Source organism: Homo sapiens, chromosome 5, assembly GCF_000001405.40.
Source record: "Homo sapiens chromosome 5, GRCh38.p14 Primary Assembly".
In the NCBI taxonomy this organism is placed as follows: Eukaryota; Metazoa; Chordata; class Mammalia; order Primates; family Hominidae; genus Homo; species Homo sapiens.
The window spans coordinates 2,914,228-2,935,406 of NC_000005.10; the positions used below are offsets into that span (position 1 = coordinate 2,914,228).

The 21,179-nt window shown below is 42.2% G+C and overlaps 2 long non-coding RNA genes across 2 annotated transcripts, besides 1 other annotated feature; both read left to right on the top strand.

Annotated features, from left to right (window-relative positions):
* Nucleotides 624-1,572: an enhancer, noted in NCBI's record as "OCT4-NANOG-H3K4me1 hESC enhancer chr5:2914965-2915913 (GRCh37/hg19 assembly coordinates)". NCBI's record gives its function as "activates a minimal SCP1, AML or CMV promoter by ChIP-STARR-seq in naive H9 embryonic stem cells {active_cell/tissue: H9 hESC(naive)}" and the evidence as "EXISTENCE:reporter gene assay evidence [ECO:0000049][PMID:30033119]".
* Nucleotides 3,627-6,301, top strand: LOC105374620 (uncharacterized). Its single transcript, NR_136207.1, has 4 exons — nt 3,627-3,677; nt 4,447-4,598; nt 4,790-4,941; nt 6,198-6,301. It is a non-coding gene; the product is annotated as an uncharacterized LOC105374620 (long non-coding RNA).
* A 5,754-nt stretch (nt 6,302-12,055) lies between these two features.
* Nucleotides 12,056-20,897, top strand: LOC107983966 (uncharacterized). The gene is made up of 6 exons (XR_001742552.2): nt 12,056-15,388; nt 15,468-17,178; nt 17,836-17,987; nt 18,901-19,032; nt 19,800-19,933; nt 20,865-20,897. It is a non-coding gene; the product is annotated as an uncharacterized LOC107983966 (long non-coding RNA).
* The last annotated feature ends 282 nt before the right edge of the window (nt 20,898-21,179 follow it).

The following is a 21,179-nucleotide window of genomic DNA, read 5'->3' on the forward strand; positions in this document are numbered from 1 at the left end:
TCTTCTTATACTAATGGGCAAGAATGGGCCACAGGCAGGTTGTTTTTGTTTTTGAATCTTTTCTCTTGATTATAGACCCCTGAAAGCAGGCTACAAAGCACAGGCGGCCATGTCCCTCATCTGGCCAAATGCCCTTCTTCCCAACTTCCCACTTGCCAAAAGCCAGACAGGGCCTCTAACGCGCGCGCCCACTGTCTTGTTTCCTGGGGTACACGGGCACACGCTACTTGTGGGGGCTTGCTCCTTTGGGACGATATACATGACCTGGTTTGAAAGTGAATGGAAACACCACTGTCCTCTTTAGCGAATAGCTGGATGGCCCGGAATCTGCCATGCCTCTCCAGTCAGGAGCTGGGGCCACGCCATGGGACCATAGAGGCAAACAACTTCCGTAGAGCAAACAAAAAGACGATGTCATCTGTGGCTTCGTGTGTTTGCAGAGGAAGGTTTACTTTTCAACGACTGCCATTTTTATTTATTTATTTATTTCTAAGAATCTCCACTTTTGCATTCTTTCATGGAGCTAGGACAAAAGGCTTTTCTAAGATTTTTTGTTGTCGTTTTTTGTTTCTAATTTCAGAGCCAATAACAGCAGCTGCTTTTCAGTGTCTCTGTGGGAAGCCACCTTTTAATCATTCTATTTGGGCTTGGATACGTGGTCGTCAAATGTTTACATTAAGAAGTATACAGTGAGCCTTCCCTTTAGAAGCAAATGAGTAGTCGGGCGGCGTGAGAATCCGACTCGATCTGAATATTGATGATCTCGCTCTCCGAGTCTCTCCGGGGCTGGGGGTGTGAGGTGTTGATCATTGCTTCTTACTGATAAGCAGAATATTTCCAGAGCGTGAAGACTTCTGTGGTGTGTGGAGAGGATAACTGTAATCTGCACCCGCACGCCAAGCGCTCGCTGCCATTTGCATGGCCAAGCAGCCCACGTTATGCTAAGCTCTCCATTAGAGCCGCGTGAAAGGTCTCCCCTCATTTGAATAAGGCCTCTTCTGCATGTGAAAAAAGAGCACTGAAAGGGAACGCTCCTTTAATTAGGGTGGCATTTGGAAGCAGAGGCCTTCAGTGTTCACTTATTGTGATGCTAAATTGTCGAGCATTTTCAAATGTGTTGTAATTGTCGTTTCCATTAAACATTTTTATTTCTATTTATTTTTCAAAGCGCGAGTGGCAGGCGTATCACAGAGAGTGAGGGAGTTGATGACTTTGGCTATCTAGATTATGGTAAATTTAAATCAAACTGTTCAATGCAATGTAGAAATATGTTTAAATATAGGATTAGAGTGTCGGAAGCTGTCAGAAGATCAAAAGGGCTGGTTCACAAAGTCATGCTGGAAAGGAGTAGAGAGTTACTGGGGAATCCTACAGCAAAATGATTATGAAGTGTTTTGAGTAGATTTCATCCAATCTGACTCTTAAGATAGAAGTCAGCATCGCTGAGAGTGCTGGGAGCCATGGTGGTCACTGTCTTCAGCACACACAAGAAATGACATGTTCGGCTTAAAAGCTGTGTCCTGAACAATGACGCAGAAGCTCCCAGGAGGCACCCAGCAACCCTAGAGGCTGATGGACACCAATATGAATATGGATTTCTAAACCCATGTTGGATTCCTCTCTGTTTCTATTTTTCATTTTTGTTTTTTAAACAAAAGCAAATTTAAACCTGCCAAGTTTCAAGTAGGCCTGGGAAGGTCAGATTTGACTTCTTGGAAGGTAGTCCAGCAGTACTATAAGAAACGAGCCTGGGGCTGGGTGCAGTGGCTCATGCCTGTAATCCCAGCACTTTGGGAAGCAGAGGCAGGCAGATCACTTGAGGTCAGGGGTTCGAGACCAGCCTGACCAACATGATGAAACCCCATCTTTACTAAAAATACAAAAAATTAGCCGGGGGTGGTAGTGGGTGCCTGTAATCCCAGCTACTCTGGAGGCTAAGGCAGGAGAATCACTTGAACCTGGGAGGTGGAGGTTGCAGTGAGCCAAGTTTTTGCCACTGCACTCCAGCCTGGGAAAAAGAGCGAGACTCCATCTCACAAAAAAAAAAAAGAAAGAAAGAAAAGAAAAGCAAAAAAGAAAAAAAGAAAGGAAAAGAGAAAAAGAAAAGGAAAAGAAAAAAGAAAAAAAGGAAAAAAGAAAAGAAAAGAAAAGGAAAAGAGAAAAGAAAAGGAAAGGAAAGAAAAGAAAAGAAAAAAGAAAAAAAAAAAAAGAAAAAAGAAAAGAAAAGGAGCCTGATACCCAAACCAGAGACACTGGAGAAGACCTGTCTGGCGAAAACTTCTTAGCAGGCACACCTGTCTTAAGAAGCTGAACCTGCCCTAATTTTTTGGCTTTTAATAAGATCCTTTTAATATTTTCAATATACCTGTGAAGGTGTTCGTGTCTGAAACACTTCATTTGTGCAGTAATTGCAGTTTTAGAGTAAGATGGTTCAAAATAAGTCAGCAATCAATCCAGGGTTAAGAAATGTCTTATTTTTATTCCTAGACGAATCTGCCAGACTTTCCTATTGTATTTGTTGATTCATGGATCCTTTCTCTGTCTCCCTGTGTCTTTCTCTGTCACTTGCCTTAACTTCTATTCAAATACAGATTCTAAGAATTGGGTTTTTTAATCAAGACGGATCATTTATCACGATTTAATATGAATTTGTATGACTGTTTTTTACAAGTATGATTTTATGAATTACTCTTCATTTAAATAAGCATACCACCAATCATTAAGCTTTTTCTCTTATAAACAGTTTTATGTCTCTGACTCGTGCAGGTTTGCAAAATGTCATGTTACAGTATTTGTCTCACTGTGCCCCTTAAAGACACTTAATTAAATTTAAGTGCTTGTAAGTATATCTTTGCTTCCATTTTAGACATTTTAAAGTGTGTTTTGAAAATACAAAATACACAGTTGACAGCTCATTGCAACAACAAGAAGCCATTTCTGGGCACAGGACTGGAGGGAAAGGGAGGAGTGTCACAAGAGGAGCCGTGGAGCCCGGAACTTCTCATGGCCACGGCATGACGTGGATCAGCCCAGTCCACGGAAGCCACCGTGGCACCAGCAGGGGAGAGGCACAGGGGCGGCCAGCACAGGCGTCTGAGTCAAACAGAGCTGTATGTAAATTATGGCCTCTCCATCCCCTCACTGTTACTCCATTCGAAACTATGTCCCTCCCAGTCTCCATCTGTGAAGTGGGGATAAGGCAGCGACCTCCCGTGCACGCATTCATGGAGACCGCGTGTGCCCAGTTTGGTTTTGTTAGCGGCGGCGCATTCTCACAGGTCTGCAGCAACCTTAGTTCTTGCCTCCTCCAAAGAAATAATTTGACCAAGGAGGCGTAAGGTAGAAGGAGATACCGAGGCAAGTTTCAGAGCAGGAGTGAATGTTTATTAAAAGGTTTTAAAGCAGGAACCAAAGGAAGTAAAATACACTTGGAAGGGAGCCAGGAAGGTGACTCGAGAGATCAAGTGCGCAGTTTGACCTTTGACTTGGGGTTTTATATGTTGGCGTACTTCCGGGGTCCTGCGTCCCTTCTCGCGATTTTTCGCGTGGGTGGGGCTGTCTGCGTGCGCTGGGGCCTGCCAGCCTTTGGGAGGGGAGCATGCGCAGTGTGTTCACTGGAGTTGTGCGCATACTCACTTCGAGGCGTTCTTCCACTACCGGTCCAATGTTCCTAGAAGGTCGTTTACCAGTTAAAAGCTGCTATTTTGTCTCTTAATATGCATGCTTGAGCCCACTCACCCAGAACCTGAGATCTTACTGGGAAGTGCTGATTACGTTTCAGTTTTTTTTGTATCTATTGGGAGACTGCCTTTCCCTAGCGCTGGCTGCGACCAATTATTATTTTAGAGAGACAGTGTAACAGCTGCCTGACCATCACCTGATGGCCGCCTGACATTCCTGGGGGTGGTGGGGGCCCCTGTCCTGCCCTGCTCATGTCTGACTAGCTACCTACAGTAACAGCTTGGTGTTGGAACGTGGCCACCCTCAGTCCCTGGGAACCGTCCAGATCACGTTTCCCTGGAGCGGGTTCCCTAACATAAACCACAGGGTGCACATTCCGAAAACCCTCGGGTATCCCATAAAGTTTCTAAAGGCTGCTGAGAGGATGTTTTTTGTGTATTTCGAATAATTCTGAGGGATGTAGATACATGAAAACTATTAGGAAATATTTTATTCATTTTATTGATTATTTAATGAGTCTAATTCAAAGACCCATTAATCTTTCTATAGACTTAGAGAATCTGTAGCTGAAGCCCCAGAAGGACTGTTGCTGTGATGGGGTGGGTGAAGCCAGACGTGAGAGATGTTGTAGACTCTGCCTCTGACATCTCAGGGCATGTCTCAGAGAGTCGGGAAATAGTTTGTGTGCTCTGATTTAATATGTGATCCAAAATCATTGCTTATTTTTGCCAGAGATTTGATTTTGACTTTTCGATAATTCTACAGGCAATGCAATTTGTGGACAAGCCCATGAAACCCAAAGGTGAAAAAGGGAAACAGGTTTACACAGACAGCCCTTCCTGCCACGTCTCCAGACATTCCTGCTGGAATCTAATCACCTTTGTCTTTAACCAGGCTTCCTGCCCACATCTTACCAGGTGATCACAGGTGTCAGTTGGTGTCTCGCCACTCCCTGAGGGTGGATATACTTGTCTAATATACCCAGACTCTTGAATTGTCTAGATTGCTACCCCTGTGGATTTAAAAAGAAGGTGACTTTTTAAAAATACTCTTGACTTTTGTTGATAATGATGAGAATTGACCATAGATTCCTATTTTCCACATGCAGTTCTGTTCTAGCAGCAAAGTTTGCTTTACTTTCCTGAGGATACGCACGTGCACCCTGGATCTCATCTCCACATGCAGGGTGGTGGGTCCCTTCCATTTCTATTTCCTGGCTCATCACCTGTCTTCATGCTTGGGACTACCTTTCTGTTGAAGGTGAGCATGTACTCACATACAATCTGCAGAGCTGAAAGTGTGTTAATCATCATGGTATGAAGAGTTGAGGCTACACTGGTGTTCCGTGCCATTTCTCTTCTTTTGCACCCCGTTGTGTGGTTGCTTTTTACCCCTTGTCTGTGCAGTCCTCATTGTTGGTAAATGACAATGTGGAGACCCGTGGCCCCTTCACTTCCTGCGACCCACAGGACTGTTTCATTAAGATTCCCTTAAGAATCATAAAGTGTCCAAAATGGAGCACTGGACAAAGGCAGCCCCATGTCTGTGGTCGGGAGCTGCAGGACGTTAGAAATCGATGTTGGTCCTGGTCGGCCCGGCTGCCCAGCTGCTGGCACTAAAGGGGCCCCTCAGCTCAGTCCAGCAGCCCTTGCAGGATGCCTGCTTCATGCTGGGAAGAGCATCCAAGGCCAGTGTGAGCCCCCAGAGACACCCAAGTGAACCCCAGTTCCTGCCAACTCACCCTCATAGCTGCACTGCTCCTCCTGCTCCTAGTGCTTCCTTCCCGCTGGGACAGCCGAGCCCATCCCAGTGGTGATGGTGGTGGCAGCCCATCTGGAACAGCCACTGTGGAGATGCCAGCTGAGTGGGGGAGGCATGGCCAGGGCTGCATACTCTGTGGAGCTGGTGGGGGCCGAGAGCAGGTGGGAGCCCCTCCCCCTACTGAGTTAGCAGTGCAGGAGCCCCACACTCCTGGGCACAGCTGCAGCCACCCAGCTGTGGCTCTAGACCTGGGCATCCCTGCACTCTCAGGAGCCTGGGAAGCCCCTGCTCCCACAGGCTTGGAAGTGCCTGCTCCCGCTCCCTGGCCTCTCCCCACTCCTAGCACCTGCATGAAGACAGGTGATGAGCCAGTGCAGAGCAAAGTTGTGGCCAAGTCTGAGTGCTGTTGCAACCCAGCCAGGTGTGTGCCTGTTTAGGGCAGTGCTGACATGCCAGCCCCCTTCTGCCTTGGCCTCCTCTGAAGACTTTGGGTGCCAGCGAGCTCAGGGAGAGAGGATGGGATGGCTCAAGGTGGCTCAGCAGTGGCCTGCAGGCACCCCACAGCACGGACAGCCTGGACACTGCAGAAGGCATGTTGATGGTTGTGGGAGGCAGAGATGTTCCTAGGCAGGAAAGGGCAGATCCCTGGTGAAACCCCACCTTTAAGGCAGGAACCACCTGGAGCCTGGAGGCTAGGCTTCCGGTTCTGGGTAGAGTCTGCGTCCTGGAGTGAGAACTTATGGTGCTTTTTCCAGGCCCACCTATGGCTTCCCATGGACCAATCAGCACGTACTTCCTCACTTCTGAATCCATAAAAATCCCTGACTCAGCTAGACTCCATGCTCTTTGGGACGACCTGACTGCAGATAGGAGCCACCCACTTCAGGATTCCTCTACTTTGTTTGAGATGACCTGCCTGTGGATAGGAGCTACCCATTTCTGGTCTCCTCTACACTCTTCAGGACAACCTGTCCACACATAGCAGCTACCCACATCGGGACTTCTCTATATTCTTCAGGAAAACCTGCACATGGATTGGAGCTACCCACATTGGGAGTCCTCTACATTCTTCAGGATGACCTGCCTGTGGAGAGGAGTTACCCATTTCAAGTCTCTACACTCTTAGGGATGACTGCCCACAGATGGGAGCTATCCACTTCAAGTCTCCTCTATACTCTTCAGGACAACCTGCCTGTGGATAGGAGCTACCCACTTCAGGATGCCTCTAAACTCTCTGGATGATCTGCCTGTAGATAGCAGCTACCCACTTCAAGACTTTTCTAAACTCTTCAGGACAACCCACCCATAGATTGGAGCTACCCAAATTTGGACTCCACTACACTCTTTGGGATGACCTGCCTGTGGATAGGAGTTAGCCACTTTGAGTCTCTATACTCTTAGGGGTGACCTGTCTACAGATAGGAGCTACACACTTCAGGTCCCCTCTCTGCTGAGACCTGTTCTGTCACTCAGTAAAGCTCCTCCTCACATTGCTCAACCTCCAGTTGTCCATGTAGCTTCATTCTTCCTGGACATGGGACAAGAACTTGGGACCTACTGAACAACAGGAGCGAAAAGAGCTGTTACCCATTCCTGGATGGCTGGCTGAGCTGTGGGCAATGACAAGCTCCTGGACTGTGGGAGTGAAGAGTGGCACCCCTTCTGGGGGCCCAGACCTCAGGATTCCCTGAGCCAGAGCTGCTGTAACACTATAGTCCTCACACCCTCCAACAGTGCCGGGTGGCTGCCCCACACGACAGGAAGCAGTAGCAGGGCCAGGTCAGCCCAGCGGCTGCAGGCTGGGGAGGCATAGCAGGACTGAAGGAGCTGTAACACAAACAGACTGAAACACACAAACACTGGAAACACCTCCCTGCTCACCACGCTTCAGGTGGCAAAAAGGAGAGAAGAGCTGAAGCCCTTCTGGGATCCCAGACCTTGGGGCTCCACAAGCCTGAGCTGTGACATGCTGTAACACCCTCTCTGGGGTTCTGTGGTTTTTGGCATCTTCAAGCTTTTGGGCACTACCATGTTCCCTGGCGCCTTCAGTAGAAACTGTTTGCGATACGCCTGGTCCAGTTGCAGCGTCACACAGAGCTGGCATCTGTGCTGGTACCAGGAGCTGCCCACCCACTGGCACTGCGCAGTGGCTGGACCTGTGCTTGCTCGGTCTTACACCCCCTTGCTGCTCCATGCCTGGCTCACCCTTGGCAGGTGTGGGATCTGGGCTGGTAGCGAGAGCCAAGCACAGCCTGCCAGGCCGAGTGGGTGGAATGAGCCCAGTGGGAGCAAACAAAACCAAAGCAGAGGGACCGCCAGCCATCATGGAGGTTTCCTGCTGGAGAAGTGACATCCTAAGGACCCTGTGACAGCCATATCCTCGCAGCCTCACGTCCTCACTGCATCTCAGGGGGAAGATACCCACCTGGGCGTCAGTAACAGCTGCTTTCCACCTTGGGAGAGTTTGCAAGAGAAAGAGAAAGAGAAAGAACAAGAAAAAGATAATGAAAGCCAGAAAAAATGAAAAAGTAAGAGGGAATTTTACTGATTAGAAATAGAAAACAAGCCTGCAGCTCAGGTCTCTGGCTGCCCTGAGGACACACAGAGCAGAGGAGGTGGCGGTTCACCATGAGCTCCTGCACCGGCTGCACTCAGACCCATGGTGACCACACAGGTCTGAACAAAGGGATCCAAAGTGCCTGGCCAGTTTCTCCTTTCTTCTGTAAAATAATTGATTCTTAAATCTCTCAAATGGATATATATATATTTATTTTCCTGAACATACTACATATATGCACATACTATGTATATTCACATAATGCTATCTTGCATATACTATATAGACACACATATACAATATATTCACATTCACACACTGTGTCCATCTATGCTACATGTAAAACATATGCACACTCAATACACACACACGATGTGCCAAGCCCTGATCCAGGTCCTTGCATACTTTGACCTGTTCTTCACCTTCACTCTACATAGTTGGTTTCATTTTCTCTCCAATCCTATAGTTGGAGAGAGTCAAAATCAAAAGATTAGGCACTGGGGCTGAGGTCCTCCAGCTAGAGACAGTCTGGCCAGGAGTTATACCTTGTTCTGGCTCCAGGTCTGGGCTCCAAGGTACCCTCCAGCACTGCTTATTGCAGTGATACCTCTGGGAAAGATGCTGCCAAATCAGCCAGAAAAACAGATCAGAACTATAGCTGGCCTTTGGGATAAAGTTTTCAACAATTTCAAAGGCAGAATTCTGCTCCTAGGCCTTTCAGTGAATACAGCCACCAGGCCGCTTACCTTAGGCTGCCCATGACTCTGCAGTCTCCATTCCTGAGAAGTCCTCATGAAGCCTGAGACAACAGCATGATCCCCACACCTCTATCATGTTCTACCATTGTAGAAATGCTTGCCCATGCAATCAAACAAGACAAACAAACAATAAACACTGAGAGGAGAATAAAATGATACTTATTTGATAAACAAGTCTACAGGTCAGAAAAAATAAACATTCTAGATTTTTGTAGATTCTGAATTTTAGAATCTTGCAAACACTTAAAAACTTTTTGCACTATCTTAACTTTGACACTAAATATCAAGATCAATTTTATGGATGACAAAAATGCATAAGGCTTTGGGATGATAGTGAACCAATGGGGCAGGTAAATCTGCTCTAATAAAGGTTTCATTCTGCCTATGTATTAAGTTAAATATATACTGCAGTATATTTTAAGTGCTAAGTAAATTATATAAATAATGAAGTTTGGGGAAAAAAAGAAGAAATGAGATTTATTTGAGGCAATCTAGTTTTTAATTAATTTTAATTAAAATAATATATGACCTCATCCAACTTAAGGGAAATAACTTAAAATTATTACAAATAATATGAGAGTTCAGGAAGATACTCCGTTATAGAGTAGATCTTCAAAAAGTAATAAAGTAGTAGACGTTTAATAACGTGACTGAGAATGTAATGAAAAAATCATACAATTTCAGCAATTAATTAATAGCTATAGGAAAACAACTGAAAATGTAGAAACTATAAGTGCAATGCTAAAACTTTTTGGATATGTTTTCTTCTTAATTTTGTATTATGTCTCATGATTCTGGATAGAAGAAATCGTTAAATTACTCCACATTTAGTGTAACATCATCTTACATTTCGACAGGTTTTTTAACTTCACAAAATGATTCTGAAGTTTACCTGCAGGTATACACTTGAGAATTACTAGGAATATTTTTGAAAAGATGACTAATGAGGATGAGGGGGAATTTGTATTAGCAGACCAAAGAATATGAGGTAAGGTTAAAATAATCAAAACAGTATATGTACTAGGATTAACAGACATGTCCACCAAACAAAATTAAAAATGCAGGGACAGCATAAAGAATTTGATAAACTTGACATTACAAATTGGTACAGAAAGGATATTTGTTGATATTTGTTGAAAATATTATATTTATATGACTAGCTTTGTGTGTGTGTGTGTGTGCGTGTGTGTGTGTGTGATGGAGTCTCACTCTTATCATCCAGCCTGGAAATACAATGGCACAATCTCGGCTCACTGCAACCTCCACCTCCTGAGTTGGTGATTCTCCTGCCTCAGCCTCCCCAGTAGCTGGGATTACAGGTACCCACCACCATGCCCAGCTAACTTTTGTGTTTTTCATAGAGATGGGGTTTCGCCATGTTGGCCAGGCTGGTCTCGAACTCCTGACCTCAGGTGATCCGTCCACCTCAGCTTCCCAAAGTGCTGGGATTACAGGCGTGAGCCACCCTGTCTGGCCTGACTGGCTAATTTTTTGAAAAAGATAAATATAGATGGCAATTACACTACTGATTTAAAAAAAGAACTAAATCAAAATATTAAATAAAAAATACCCAGTAATGTTCTGAGACGAATTTTAAGTATTTATTTCATCTTTGGATGAATTCAAGATTACTAAGCATGTCACCAGGGGCAGAAACAAGGAGTTTCCTTGATTTTACTATGTAAAAATTGTTAAAATCCCATAGAAAATTAATATGATAATTGATGTTAAAACATAAACACTAATTTGGCAAAGTAACAAGTGTGGCACCTACGAGTTAGTACCTCAGTGTAAAAAGTGTTAATATAAATAAAGAGACCACAGTGATTTTTAAAAAATGGGCAAAGGCTATGAACAGATCATGCACAAAAGCGAAAACGTAAGCAGATGAAAATTAAATAAAAATCCTGCAGGCTAATTAGTAATCAAAGAAATAGTACTGCTATCACAAATTACCATACATTTATTTAGTGGCTTAAAACAGCACAGATTTATCACCTTATATTTCTGTTGGTTATAATCTTACACAGGTCTCACTGGCTAAAATCAAGATGTTGGCAGGACCACGTTCCTTTCTGGAGGTCTAAAAGAGACTCTGTTGCCCTGACTTTTCACCTTCTAGGACCCTTCCACATTTCTTGCCTCATGACCACTTCCACGCAGCCGTGTCTCTGGTTCTCTGGCCATCCTCCCACAACCTGGAGAGTTTCCACTTCGAAGGTAAGGCTCTCCAGGGTAATCCAGGATATTCCATCTCAAGGTTCCCACCTTAAGCATGCCTGCAAAGTGGCTTTTCCCAGGTAGGGCAACATTCAGTTTCCAGGGATTAGGATGTGAACAACTTTGTGAGGTGATCATTGTATCTACTATAGGCATATAAAAAAATTCAATATACCTTAATAGAATATGAGGATATTATAATTTTATATATAACATATAATTATTATAAAATATGTATATAATAAAGGGATAATCAATTTCCTAATGAATTATTTGACATCTGCTGAGATGACATAATGTTTTCCAAGAATCTGTTAATCTGGTGAATTATCATGGACTAATTTTTTCAATATTAAACAAACATTTTATTCCTGGGAAAAACAACTTGTTATGATGTATTATGATTTTTGTATTTCCTGTATTTAGTTTGATAATATTTTATTATGATTTCGGCATCTATGTCCATAAGTGAGATGCACTTACAGCTTTTTTCTTTCAGACCAACCCTGTTATGTTTGATATCAAGATTTGTCAGACTTGTAAAGCAAATTGAAGAAAACTTCTTTTCTTCTCCTCCTCCTCCTCATCTCCCCCTTTCCTCTTCTTCTTCCTCTGAGAGAGTCTGTATAAAATAGAGATTATTTTTTCTTGCCTGTTTCATAGAACTCGCTGTTCAAACCATTGTGCTAGAATTTTTCTTTGTGAGAAGATATTTATTTACTAATTCCTTTTCTTTTATGTGTGTATGACTAATCAGATAGTTTATTTATTTCTGTCATTTTGAGCTGTTGTACAGTTTTCAAAGATTTTCTACTTTGTCTTTTTTTTTTTTTTTTTTTTTTGAGACGGAGTCTCGCTCTGTTGCCCAGGCTGGAGTGCGGTGGCGCAATCTCGGCTCACTGCAAGCTCTGCCTCCCGGGTTCACGCCTTTCTCCTGCCTCAGCCTCCCGAGTACCTGGGACTACAGGTGCCCGCTACCACGCCCGGCTAATTTTTTTGTATTTTTAGTAGAGACGGGGTTTCACCGTGTTAGCCAGGATGGTCTCGATCTCCTGACCTCGTGATCCGCCCGCCTCGGCCTCCCAAAGTGCTGGGATTACAGGCTTGAGCCACCGCGCCCGGCCTCTACTTTGTCTAAGAGTTTTAATTAATGGGAGTGCATTTATTTATATATAATTATCTCTTCTAATTACTGTATTGCTGCTTTTCATACAAAATCTTTAATCACTTTATGTCTCAGTAAAATGGATTTTACCTACTTTATAATTATCATTAAAGTTTAATAATTTAATATATATACAAATCATAGAGCACTGCTTGCACATGGTAAATGCTATATAAGTGATTGTTATTGACATAATTCAACTTTCAATATTTTTAAAATTTCACAGCAATTTTTTTCTCTGACCTGTGAGGTACTTAGAAGTGTTATTCCTAATTTCCAAAAACATATTTCTCTAGCTAGCTGTTCCTCAACTTATCATGGGGGCTACATCCCACAATAAACACATGATAAAGTTGAAAAATTGTAAGCTGAACCATCATAAGTCAGAGACTGTCTGTATATGTTTTCAATAGTACCTATTTATTCACTATTAATTTTTGATTTTACTTCATGGTGGCCAAAAACATGTATTTTCTAAAATACAACCTGAAGAGATTTGTCAAAGTTTGCATAATGGGCTAATATGTGGATGAACTATCTTACTGTTGCATCTTAAAACCCATGTGTGCTTGGTGCTACATGTATGTATTCTTTTGTTGTTAAAAGCACTGTTCTATGGATTTCTTTTAAATTAGTCTTACTAATTATGCTGTTCAAATATTCTAATTTTTGAAATATACTTTTCTATCAATTATTATAGAGTATGGGTAAAAATCTACTATGATTGTGGATTTTGTGGATTTGTGCATTGATCCTTTAAATTAAATGAATGTTGGCATTATATATTTAAGTCTGTGTTATTAAGTTTATACAAGTTTAAATTTGTTATATCATCTTTCTGAATGGCAGTTTATCAATATCTCATTACTTTGTCAGGTCTATACTCTTTCAATACAATTAAAACAGCTTTTTAAGTTTTCACAAATATTTTTCTGGTATAGATTTTTTCATCCTTTTGTTTTCTACCTTTTGTATTTTTATGGTTTTAATTGTCTCTTCAAAATGGCTTATAGCTTTCATTTTTTCTTAATCCAGTTTGATAATTTCAGACTTTTATTAGAGTATTTAGTCTATTTGCACTAATTGTATTTAAGGATTTATTTAGATTTATTCCTATCATTATTTTTTATATTTTCTTCTTTTGTATATTGCTTTTTCTCTTCTCTTTTGCTTTATTTGGATTGATTGAGCACTTTTCATTCATTTGATCATTTCCTCTAGTAGTAGGGAAGTGGTTTTTGTCATGATAGACTCAGGTATACTCGGGGTGGTGGTTCAAACCAAGATACTTTTGTGAATGGGAGGATCCACTGTTCATAATTATGCTAGGAACAAACCCTGACTGTTCTGTGCACACCACAAAATATATCAGCTTTAAATACACAGCAGTAATAAACAACCTTAAAGTATCGGTAACTGAGCAACAACAAAAAGTGTATTTCTCATTCCGGCTACATGCCCATTGAGAGTCAGCAGGACAGGCTCTCCAGGTCATTGTTTTTGAGGGACCCGGCCTGATGTACGCTCTACCTTACCCCGTGATTTTATGACCTCGCAGTAGTGGGAAGTCAAAATCACACGGTGATTTTGGCAGTGCTCTCCCATGATGTAAAATATGCATGGGGTATCCAAATGCAGGAGCTGAGGAGATTTAAATAACAAAAGACTTCTAAAAGGAGTCCTGAAAATAAAATTTAGAGTGAAACATTTTTTGTTTGAGAGTAGGTAAAATGAGAGTAGGTTATTTGATTTAATAGTGGTCTCTTTGGATCTCTAAAAATCTTTGCATGTGCATTCAAAAAGTAAATAGAAATAGTAAATGCCAGTTGATTGAAAATCATGATACTTTTGAGATGATACTAAATTTTTACAATATGATATAAATCAGAATAGTGTAGACAGCCAATTTACATAATTCAACCCCAGAAAATTAACTACATACATTCACTATGTAATGACTTAATTCACTTAAGTTGAGCCAAGTGTCATAAATTTGCAATGAACATTTTTACTTTTTAAAAAATGAGCTAATTTTAGATTTGTCACAGAAAACTACTATTCATTGACATCGCAAATTGGAATTATTAACAGAAAAGCTCATTTCAAATATGGAGAACATAAGAGAGTGTAGTGATTGGGATGTGTTCTCAACATCAAACTGTAAGAAGAAAATTTAATAGCCAGAACTTGAGAAAAATATAATGGGCTACCCGATGAATCACTTGGCAGGAATATTATCAATGGAATTAAATAATGGCCTACTGTCAGTTTAATTCAATCATCTCTTTAGTTAGTATATCAAATTTCATTCGTATATTATGAGAGGTGATGCCATCATTTTATCTGCCTGTCTCATTCTGACTATAGAATTTGAGCAACTTCACCATTCTTCGTTCTTGTTTTGATGGTCAAAGTTGCTGAATAATTGCTTCTTTCCTCCTTTGTGTGTCTTAGGACAAATACAGCACAATCTCAGAGTTAACTTAACATCCAAACTGTTATTACATTCTCTGTCCTCAGTTAGTTGGTAGAATTATAATCAGTTAAAAACAGATTTAAAAAAAAACAGCTTTTACTGAACATGGATATATAGCAGTGCTACTTTATAAAATAATAGTGTGGCTAATATAATGGCATTTATTTAAACAATTATTGAGATTATTTTTCTCATCTCTCCTCATTTTCTGACCTGAGAAATACAGTTCCAAGTTCACGAGTGAATGTAAATGAAGAAACAGGGAAAGCATTTTAGAATTTCTTGAAATCTGGCACCAGGACTGATTGTACATATGTATATATACACTCATGCATGTGTGTGCCTATGTATGTGTGCATATGTGTATACGTATGTGTGTATGAATATATGTATTTAATCATCATGGGCTGGTATATCTGGTTAGAACAAAGTACAAGTAAACCCCAAGTAATGAGTAAGATTCCCTCCAGATCCAGCTAATTATTTGAACATACCCTTTTCATCACAGCACGTCACTGCTGCAAACATTGGAATGCTTTCCCATGGTTTACTAAACAAAGTACAAAGCTGTCTGACAATGCAGATCACAGCAAAGATCCAAGTGATGCATGCCCTTCGGCAGGATCTTCCCCACCCTGGGTCTCAGTTTTATCTTCTAGAAAATACACGTTCAAGAGTGAGATTTGCAGCTTCCTCCCTGCTCAGACCTCATGATTTTGACTGTGAAACCCATTCATATAACTTCATTATTCTTATTCCCATGTGAGAAGGTAAGTCTAGTATGAATGTCATTTTTGCCCAAACACTCCTGAGCATTACATAGACTTAATTAACGTTTTGCTTCTTCAGATGTTTTTTCTCATGTGCAGGCTGTTTACTAAAGGGCCACACAGCATGTTACCTTCAATCCGTAGACATTTCTGGGAGTCAGCTGCGTGCACTGCAGTTGAAGATGAGAACTATTGAATGCTTACCCAGTGCCAGGCCTGTGTCTCCACGCCTCTCGCCTGTCCCCCCTTAGCACCCTATGAGGTCGACACTGTGGTCACCCTCCCTTGGCAGGTGCAGAGCAGAGGTGAGGAGGGTAATGACTTGGTTGGCCTGTCTGACTCGGAAGCGCTGTCTTGCTCACCTCCAGTGTGCTGGGACAGCAGCACAGGAACCACCTCAGAGGTGCTCTGGAGAGAGTGACCAGCACCCACCCTTCCATGCTGCCAGGGGTTCTTCGATGTGTCCAGTCTTCTCCTCCCAGCTGCGGGCCTCGAGCATTTATCTAAATGTTTCGCCTCCTTCAGACCCTACCTTGCTTTCTCCTCTCCCACTGTGGGTGGGCTGGCCTCCTACCCCCTGAGAAAATCAAGGACAGTGAGGAGGAGTGCTGTGGACTTCCCCTCTTTATCTTCATCAGCTGCACGGGCAGCTGTGCCTTCCTGCTTTGCCCTGGTCTCCTGGTTATGAAAGCCAAATCCCCCACGCAGCTGAGTCCCTTTCCCTCCTGCCTTCTTATGCTCCTGCACTGTCCTCAACTCCTATCTCTCTTTATGTTCAGCTGACCCCCCTCATCCCTACCCTTCGCTTCACACGCCATTGACATAGTTGAGCTCACTCCACCTCGAAAAGCCTCTCCCTGAACTCTGAATATTCTCTAGCACATGTGTGTCCACCTCCATTTGCAGACAGTCCTGTTCTGTGCAGTTTCTTGTTCCTGGCCTTTAGCCCTAGTGAGCCCCTCCTTCAGATTTTCCTCTCTTATTTGTCTATCAAAACATTCTTCCCCTCATAACAGGTGCCCCTCCCTCAATGAGTTCACCAGTGTCAAAACACCTCCCACACCTTGGAGTAACCATAAGATTACTTGCTTCTCTCTCCTACTGAACTTTTAGTGTTTTGAGGATGGAGACCTTGCCATAGCACGGTTCTACCTTCCAGCAGTACCAGGCACCTGGAGTCCTGGGCCATATTCATTTCATGCCCCTATAGATGCTGATTAAAGGCCTTTCCCTTCCCAATCCCCTGCTAAACTCCAACACATTCTTGCAGACCCAGGTCAAGTCTCTTCTATGTACCTTCTGAAAACCTACTCAGTGGAAATCCTTACTATTATTACTAACATCACTTTTTGCACTATTTGTCCTCTTGATCTTTCTCTTAGTGGTTTGTGAAGTTTTTATATATTGCTGTTTTTATGTCTCCAGGACCTGAAACTGTACTAGGTACATGGTAGGCACTCAACAAATATTTATTGAATGAATGGATCAATCAACCAATCAAACTATGCAAAATAAAGAGCATAAGACTGTGAGAGAGGAGACGAAAGCCTGGCTGGGAGGGAAAGGCCATAAGGAGTAATAAGATAGGAAAGTGTTAGGGTGTGTGGGAGATCACAAAACAGTATTTTCAGCGGTCTCCGTTGAGAGTTGACATCTGCTTTTCCACCCCTCGAATCTAGGTTTGGCCTTGCAACAGATGGACCAACAGAACACTAGGAAACACGATTCAAGTAGCATCTTGAAATGTGATCCTGCATTGGGGGTCCCCTCTCTTCACTGCACCCGGAACTGTGAGTACCTGATGTAAGTGAGCTCGAGCTAGCCTGTTGCAAAGACACCCTAGAGAAGGATGGAGGAGCCCAGTGAGCAGCCTGGTGAGTGAGGCCATTCTGGACCTTCCCCTCCAGCTGTGCCACCATCTGATCACAGTTCACTCCAAGTGAGATGAGTAGGAAAATCGCTCCCTTGAGTCCAGTCCAAATTGTCCACCTACCGAGCTGTAAACTAGTGAATACTTTTCTAAGTTTTCTAATAACAGCTACTAAGTTTTGAGGTTGTTTCATAGCAAAAACAAACTGATATGAGTTACAAAATATGAAGACAACCCTTGCATTTTAGAGGAGTAGGTTTAAATTTAACTTAGCCAGCAACCAAAACTTTAGCTTAAGTTACTGTTCTCTGAGAAAATCTGTGTTAACCTAAGGAAAGGTTAATTGGGTTAATATTATTTTTCTTCAATTATCTCACCATCTGCAATGAGTTAATTCTCTCTAAGATTTTGTGATTTTAGAAGAAATGGACTTATGGAAGTAATTAGCCATCAATTCCTTCAATGGGCTGTGTAGAACAAAGGGATTTCACTAAATGACAGTATTTGTATTTGCCCATCATTTCCATTCAAATGAAGTAGTGTTCAATATATGCTTACTTTGGGTTTACTTCTGCAGTCCTCCAAGAAACAGTGGTCTGTGTGGGCACAAATGAGCTACAGCACGTATAAGTCAATGGGAAGAAAGGAAATGCTCACTATGCTAGAAGTGACAGTAGAAACTTCCATTGTGTGTGACTGGAGAGGCACAAATGAAGGGCATCTCCCAAAGTGAGTGAGAAGAGTTCAGACTGAATATCTCAAAACCTAAGCTCATGTAAGGGAACAGGCAGGGCAGCCCACTGGATTGCTGTCTCTCCTATGAAAAGGAATCACTGGAGCTGGTGGCACATGGGTGAGCTGGAGAAATTGCTCGTGGAATTGAGAAGGTCTCAACCTCTAGGTTGAATTATCATATTTCATCATTTTTGTGTCCAAGGTGGACATTTTCTAGCCATGTACTTATATACAAAATATAAGAAGCCATTTGGGCTGGGTGTGGTGGCTCACTCACTCCTGTAATCCCAGTACTTTGGGAGGTCGAGGCAGGCAGATCATGAGGTCAGGAGTTTGAGACCAGCCTGGCCAACATGGTGAAACCACATCTCTACTAAAATACAAAAATTAGCTGGGCGTGGTGGTGTGTGCCAGTAATCTCAGCTACTCAGGAGGCTGAGGCAGGAGAATCACTTGAACCTGGGAGGCGGAGGTTGCAGTTAGCTGAGATCACACCATTGCACGCTATCCTAGTGACAGAGCAAGACTCTGTCTAAAAAAAAATAAAATAAGAAGCCATTTGGACCCAAACAGGCAGATCTCCTTGGTTCTTGGAGAGATAAGAGAGAAAGAGCAGCTTTGCCTTCCCCTGTGTTTGAAGATTGTATCATGGATCAGCATGGGCCTCTGTACCACAACTTGTTTTCCTGGGGTGTCCGTCCCAGGCAGTGCTTACTTTCTAAATTTTTCTCGGAGGCCTCATGGTGGGTATGGAAAACCGTGGGTGGTGAGTGAAGGAAAAGTAAGATGTCACTGAAAGCGGTCTTACCTCAGAGAGCAAGAATTCAGACCTCAAGACAATAGGTTAAACTTCATGAAGCATCTTTGATTAAGTCATCTTATTCTATTCTACTTTTGCTGTAACTAGCAGGCTTCATCTTTTGGGAGTGTGAGAGGAGTGACAGTTTAAGGAGGCTTCACAGGCGTCCATACAACCACAGGATGAACAGCCTTTTAGAAGTTACTGTTGCCCTTCCAGGAAGACAAGTTTCATTGCCTGGTACATAAATTGAGTTAAACTTGAAGGATATTTTTATGTAAAAGGAAGGGCAAATATATACAAAGATGACATTCACAAATACATTTTCTGTAAAAATAGGACAAAAGAGTAATATACAATTAAGACATTGTCAAACTTTTTTTTCTAAAATCAAAATTTTATACCAGTTTTTTTCCCTTTAAACTAGGAACCTATACTATTTCAAAGTGTTAAAACACATTTATAACATTTTCAGAAAACTACATTTAGGGAATGTTAAAAATATACATTAGAGGCTGGGCACGATGGCTCATGCCTGTAATCCCGGCAATTTGGGAGGCCAAGGCAGGTGGATCGTCTGAGGTAAGGAGTTCGAGACTAGCCTGGCCAACATGGCAAAACCCCATTTCTACTAAAAATACAAAAATTAGCCTGGCATAGTGGCTCACAGCTGTAGTCCCAGCTACTTGGGAGGCTGAGGCAGGAGAATCGCTTGAACCCGGAAGGTGGAGGTTGCAGTGAGCCGAGATTGCACCACTGCACTCCAGCCTGGGCGACAGAGCGAGACCCTGTCTCAAACAACAACAACAAAAAGGCGTTAGAACCCTGTGGCTTCCAATGTCCATTGCAGGAGCTGTGGCCGCCATGTTCTTCTGGCATAGCTGGTTACCTTGGCCACATACCTGATAACCACCCACTGACAAACAGATGAATTGCTCTGCCATGGCTCAGAAGCAGACACTCAGACAGGAACTTTTCTTTTTTCTTTCATGGAACTTTACCTGTAGACCCTTTTGTTTCGCCCCAAACCATCAGGATAACTGAAAGCCACTCCAACATGTTGATTGGGGTAGCCGAGGAATGATGCAGACCAGAGCATCAGAGTAGGTGACAGGCATTTGACAGTGGACACCCAAAAAAGGTAAGAGTGGCTATTCATCACCAGGGGCAGAGCATTTGCTAATCATGTCATCCCTAGAATTAGCTCAAATTTAAGAGTCTCAGTAAAAAAAGTTTTGGATCTAGGCCATGAGAGTCTGAACTATGAATTTATTATTTTAGGGCTGCATGGACACATGGGCCATGTGAATACTAACTAGGCCCTTGTGAATATTGGAACTCTAGAATCTAATATTGACTCTTCAAGCCAATATTGATGAGGGGTTAAATAACCAAATACCACCTGTACCCCAATAACTTACGGGAAAAAAAATAAACAAAAAGCATTACCATCATTAGAAGTTACTTTGGCCTAACCATTTTGGAAAACTGGGTATTGAATAAAGTCGGATTTAAAGCCCAGTAATTTTGCTCCTACTATTAACTATGAAAATATGTACAATGAGAATATCTGGGAAAAAAGGTATGAGAAAAACAGCTCATCACATACAAACTAACAATACAATCAATGGCTGCTTTTACACCAGAGGCAAGGAAGACCAGATAGCAGTGGAATTACACATTCAAAGTGCTGGAAAAAACTATCAAGGAAGAAGTAATTATCCAGTAAAACTATTCTTTAAAAATAAAGGCAAATAAAGACATGAGTAGATAAACAAAGACTGGGAGATCTTGCTACTTTCAGACTTATAAGAAATACTAAAGAAAGTCCTATATTTCTCCTATTTTAAAGATACAGATTGTATAAAGCAATAATTATAATACTTTGGGGGGCTTATTAAATAAATTCATATATAATATGGTTATATATATTCATATATTATCTATGTCATATAGTACAAAAAAGAAGAAAATAAATGAATATTAAAGGTTTTATATTTTAACAGAATTAAGTTAGTATTAATCTAAAGTAGATGTGGTCAGTTAAGATATATGTTGTATGTTTATTGCAGCACTACTTACAATAGCAAAAACTTAGAACCAATCCAAATGTCCAACAATAGTAGACTGGATTAAGAAAATGTGGCACATATACACCATGGAATACTATGCAGCCATAAAAAATGATGAGTTCATGTCCTTTGTAGGGACATGGATGAAGCTGGAAACCATCATTCTCAGCAAACTATCGCAAGGACAAAAAAACCAAACACCGCATGTTCTCACTCATAGGTAGGAATTGAACAATGAGAGCACTTGGACACAGGAAGGGGAACATCGCACACTGGGGCCTGTTGTGGGGTAGGGGGAGAAGGGAGGGATAGCAT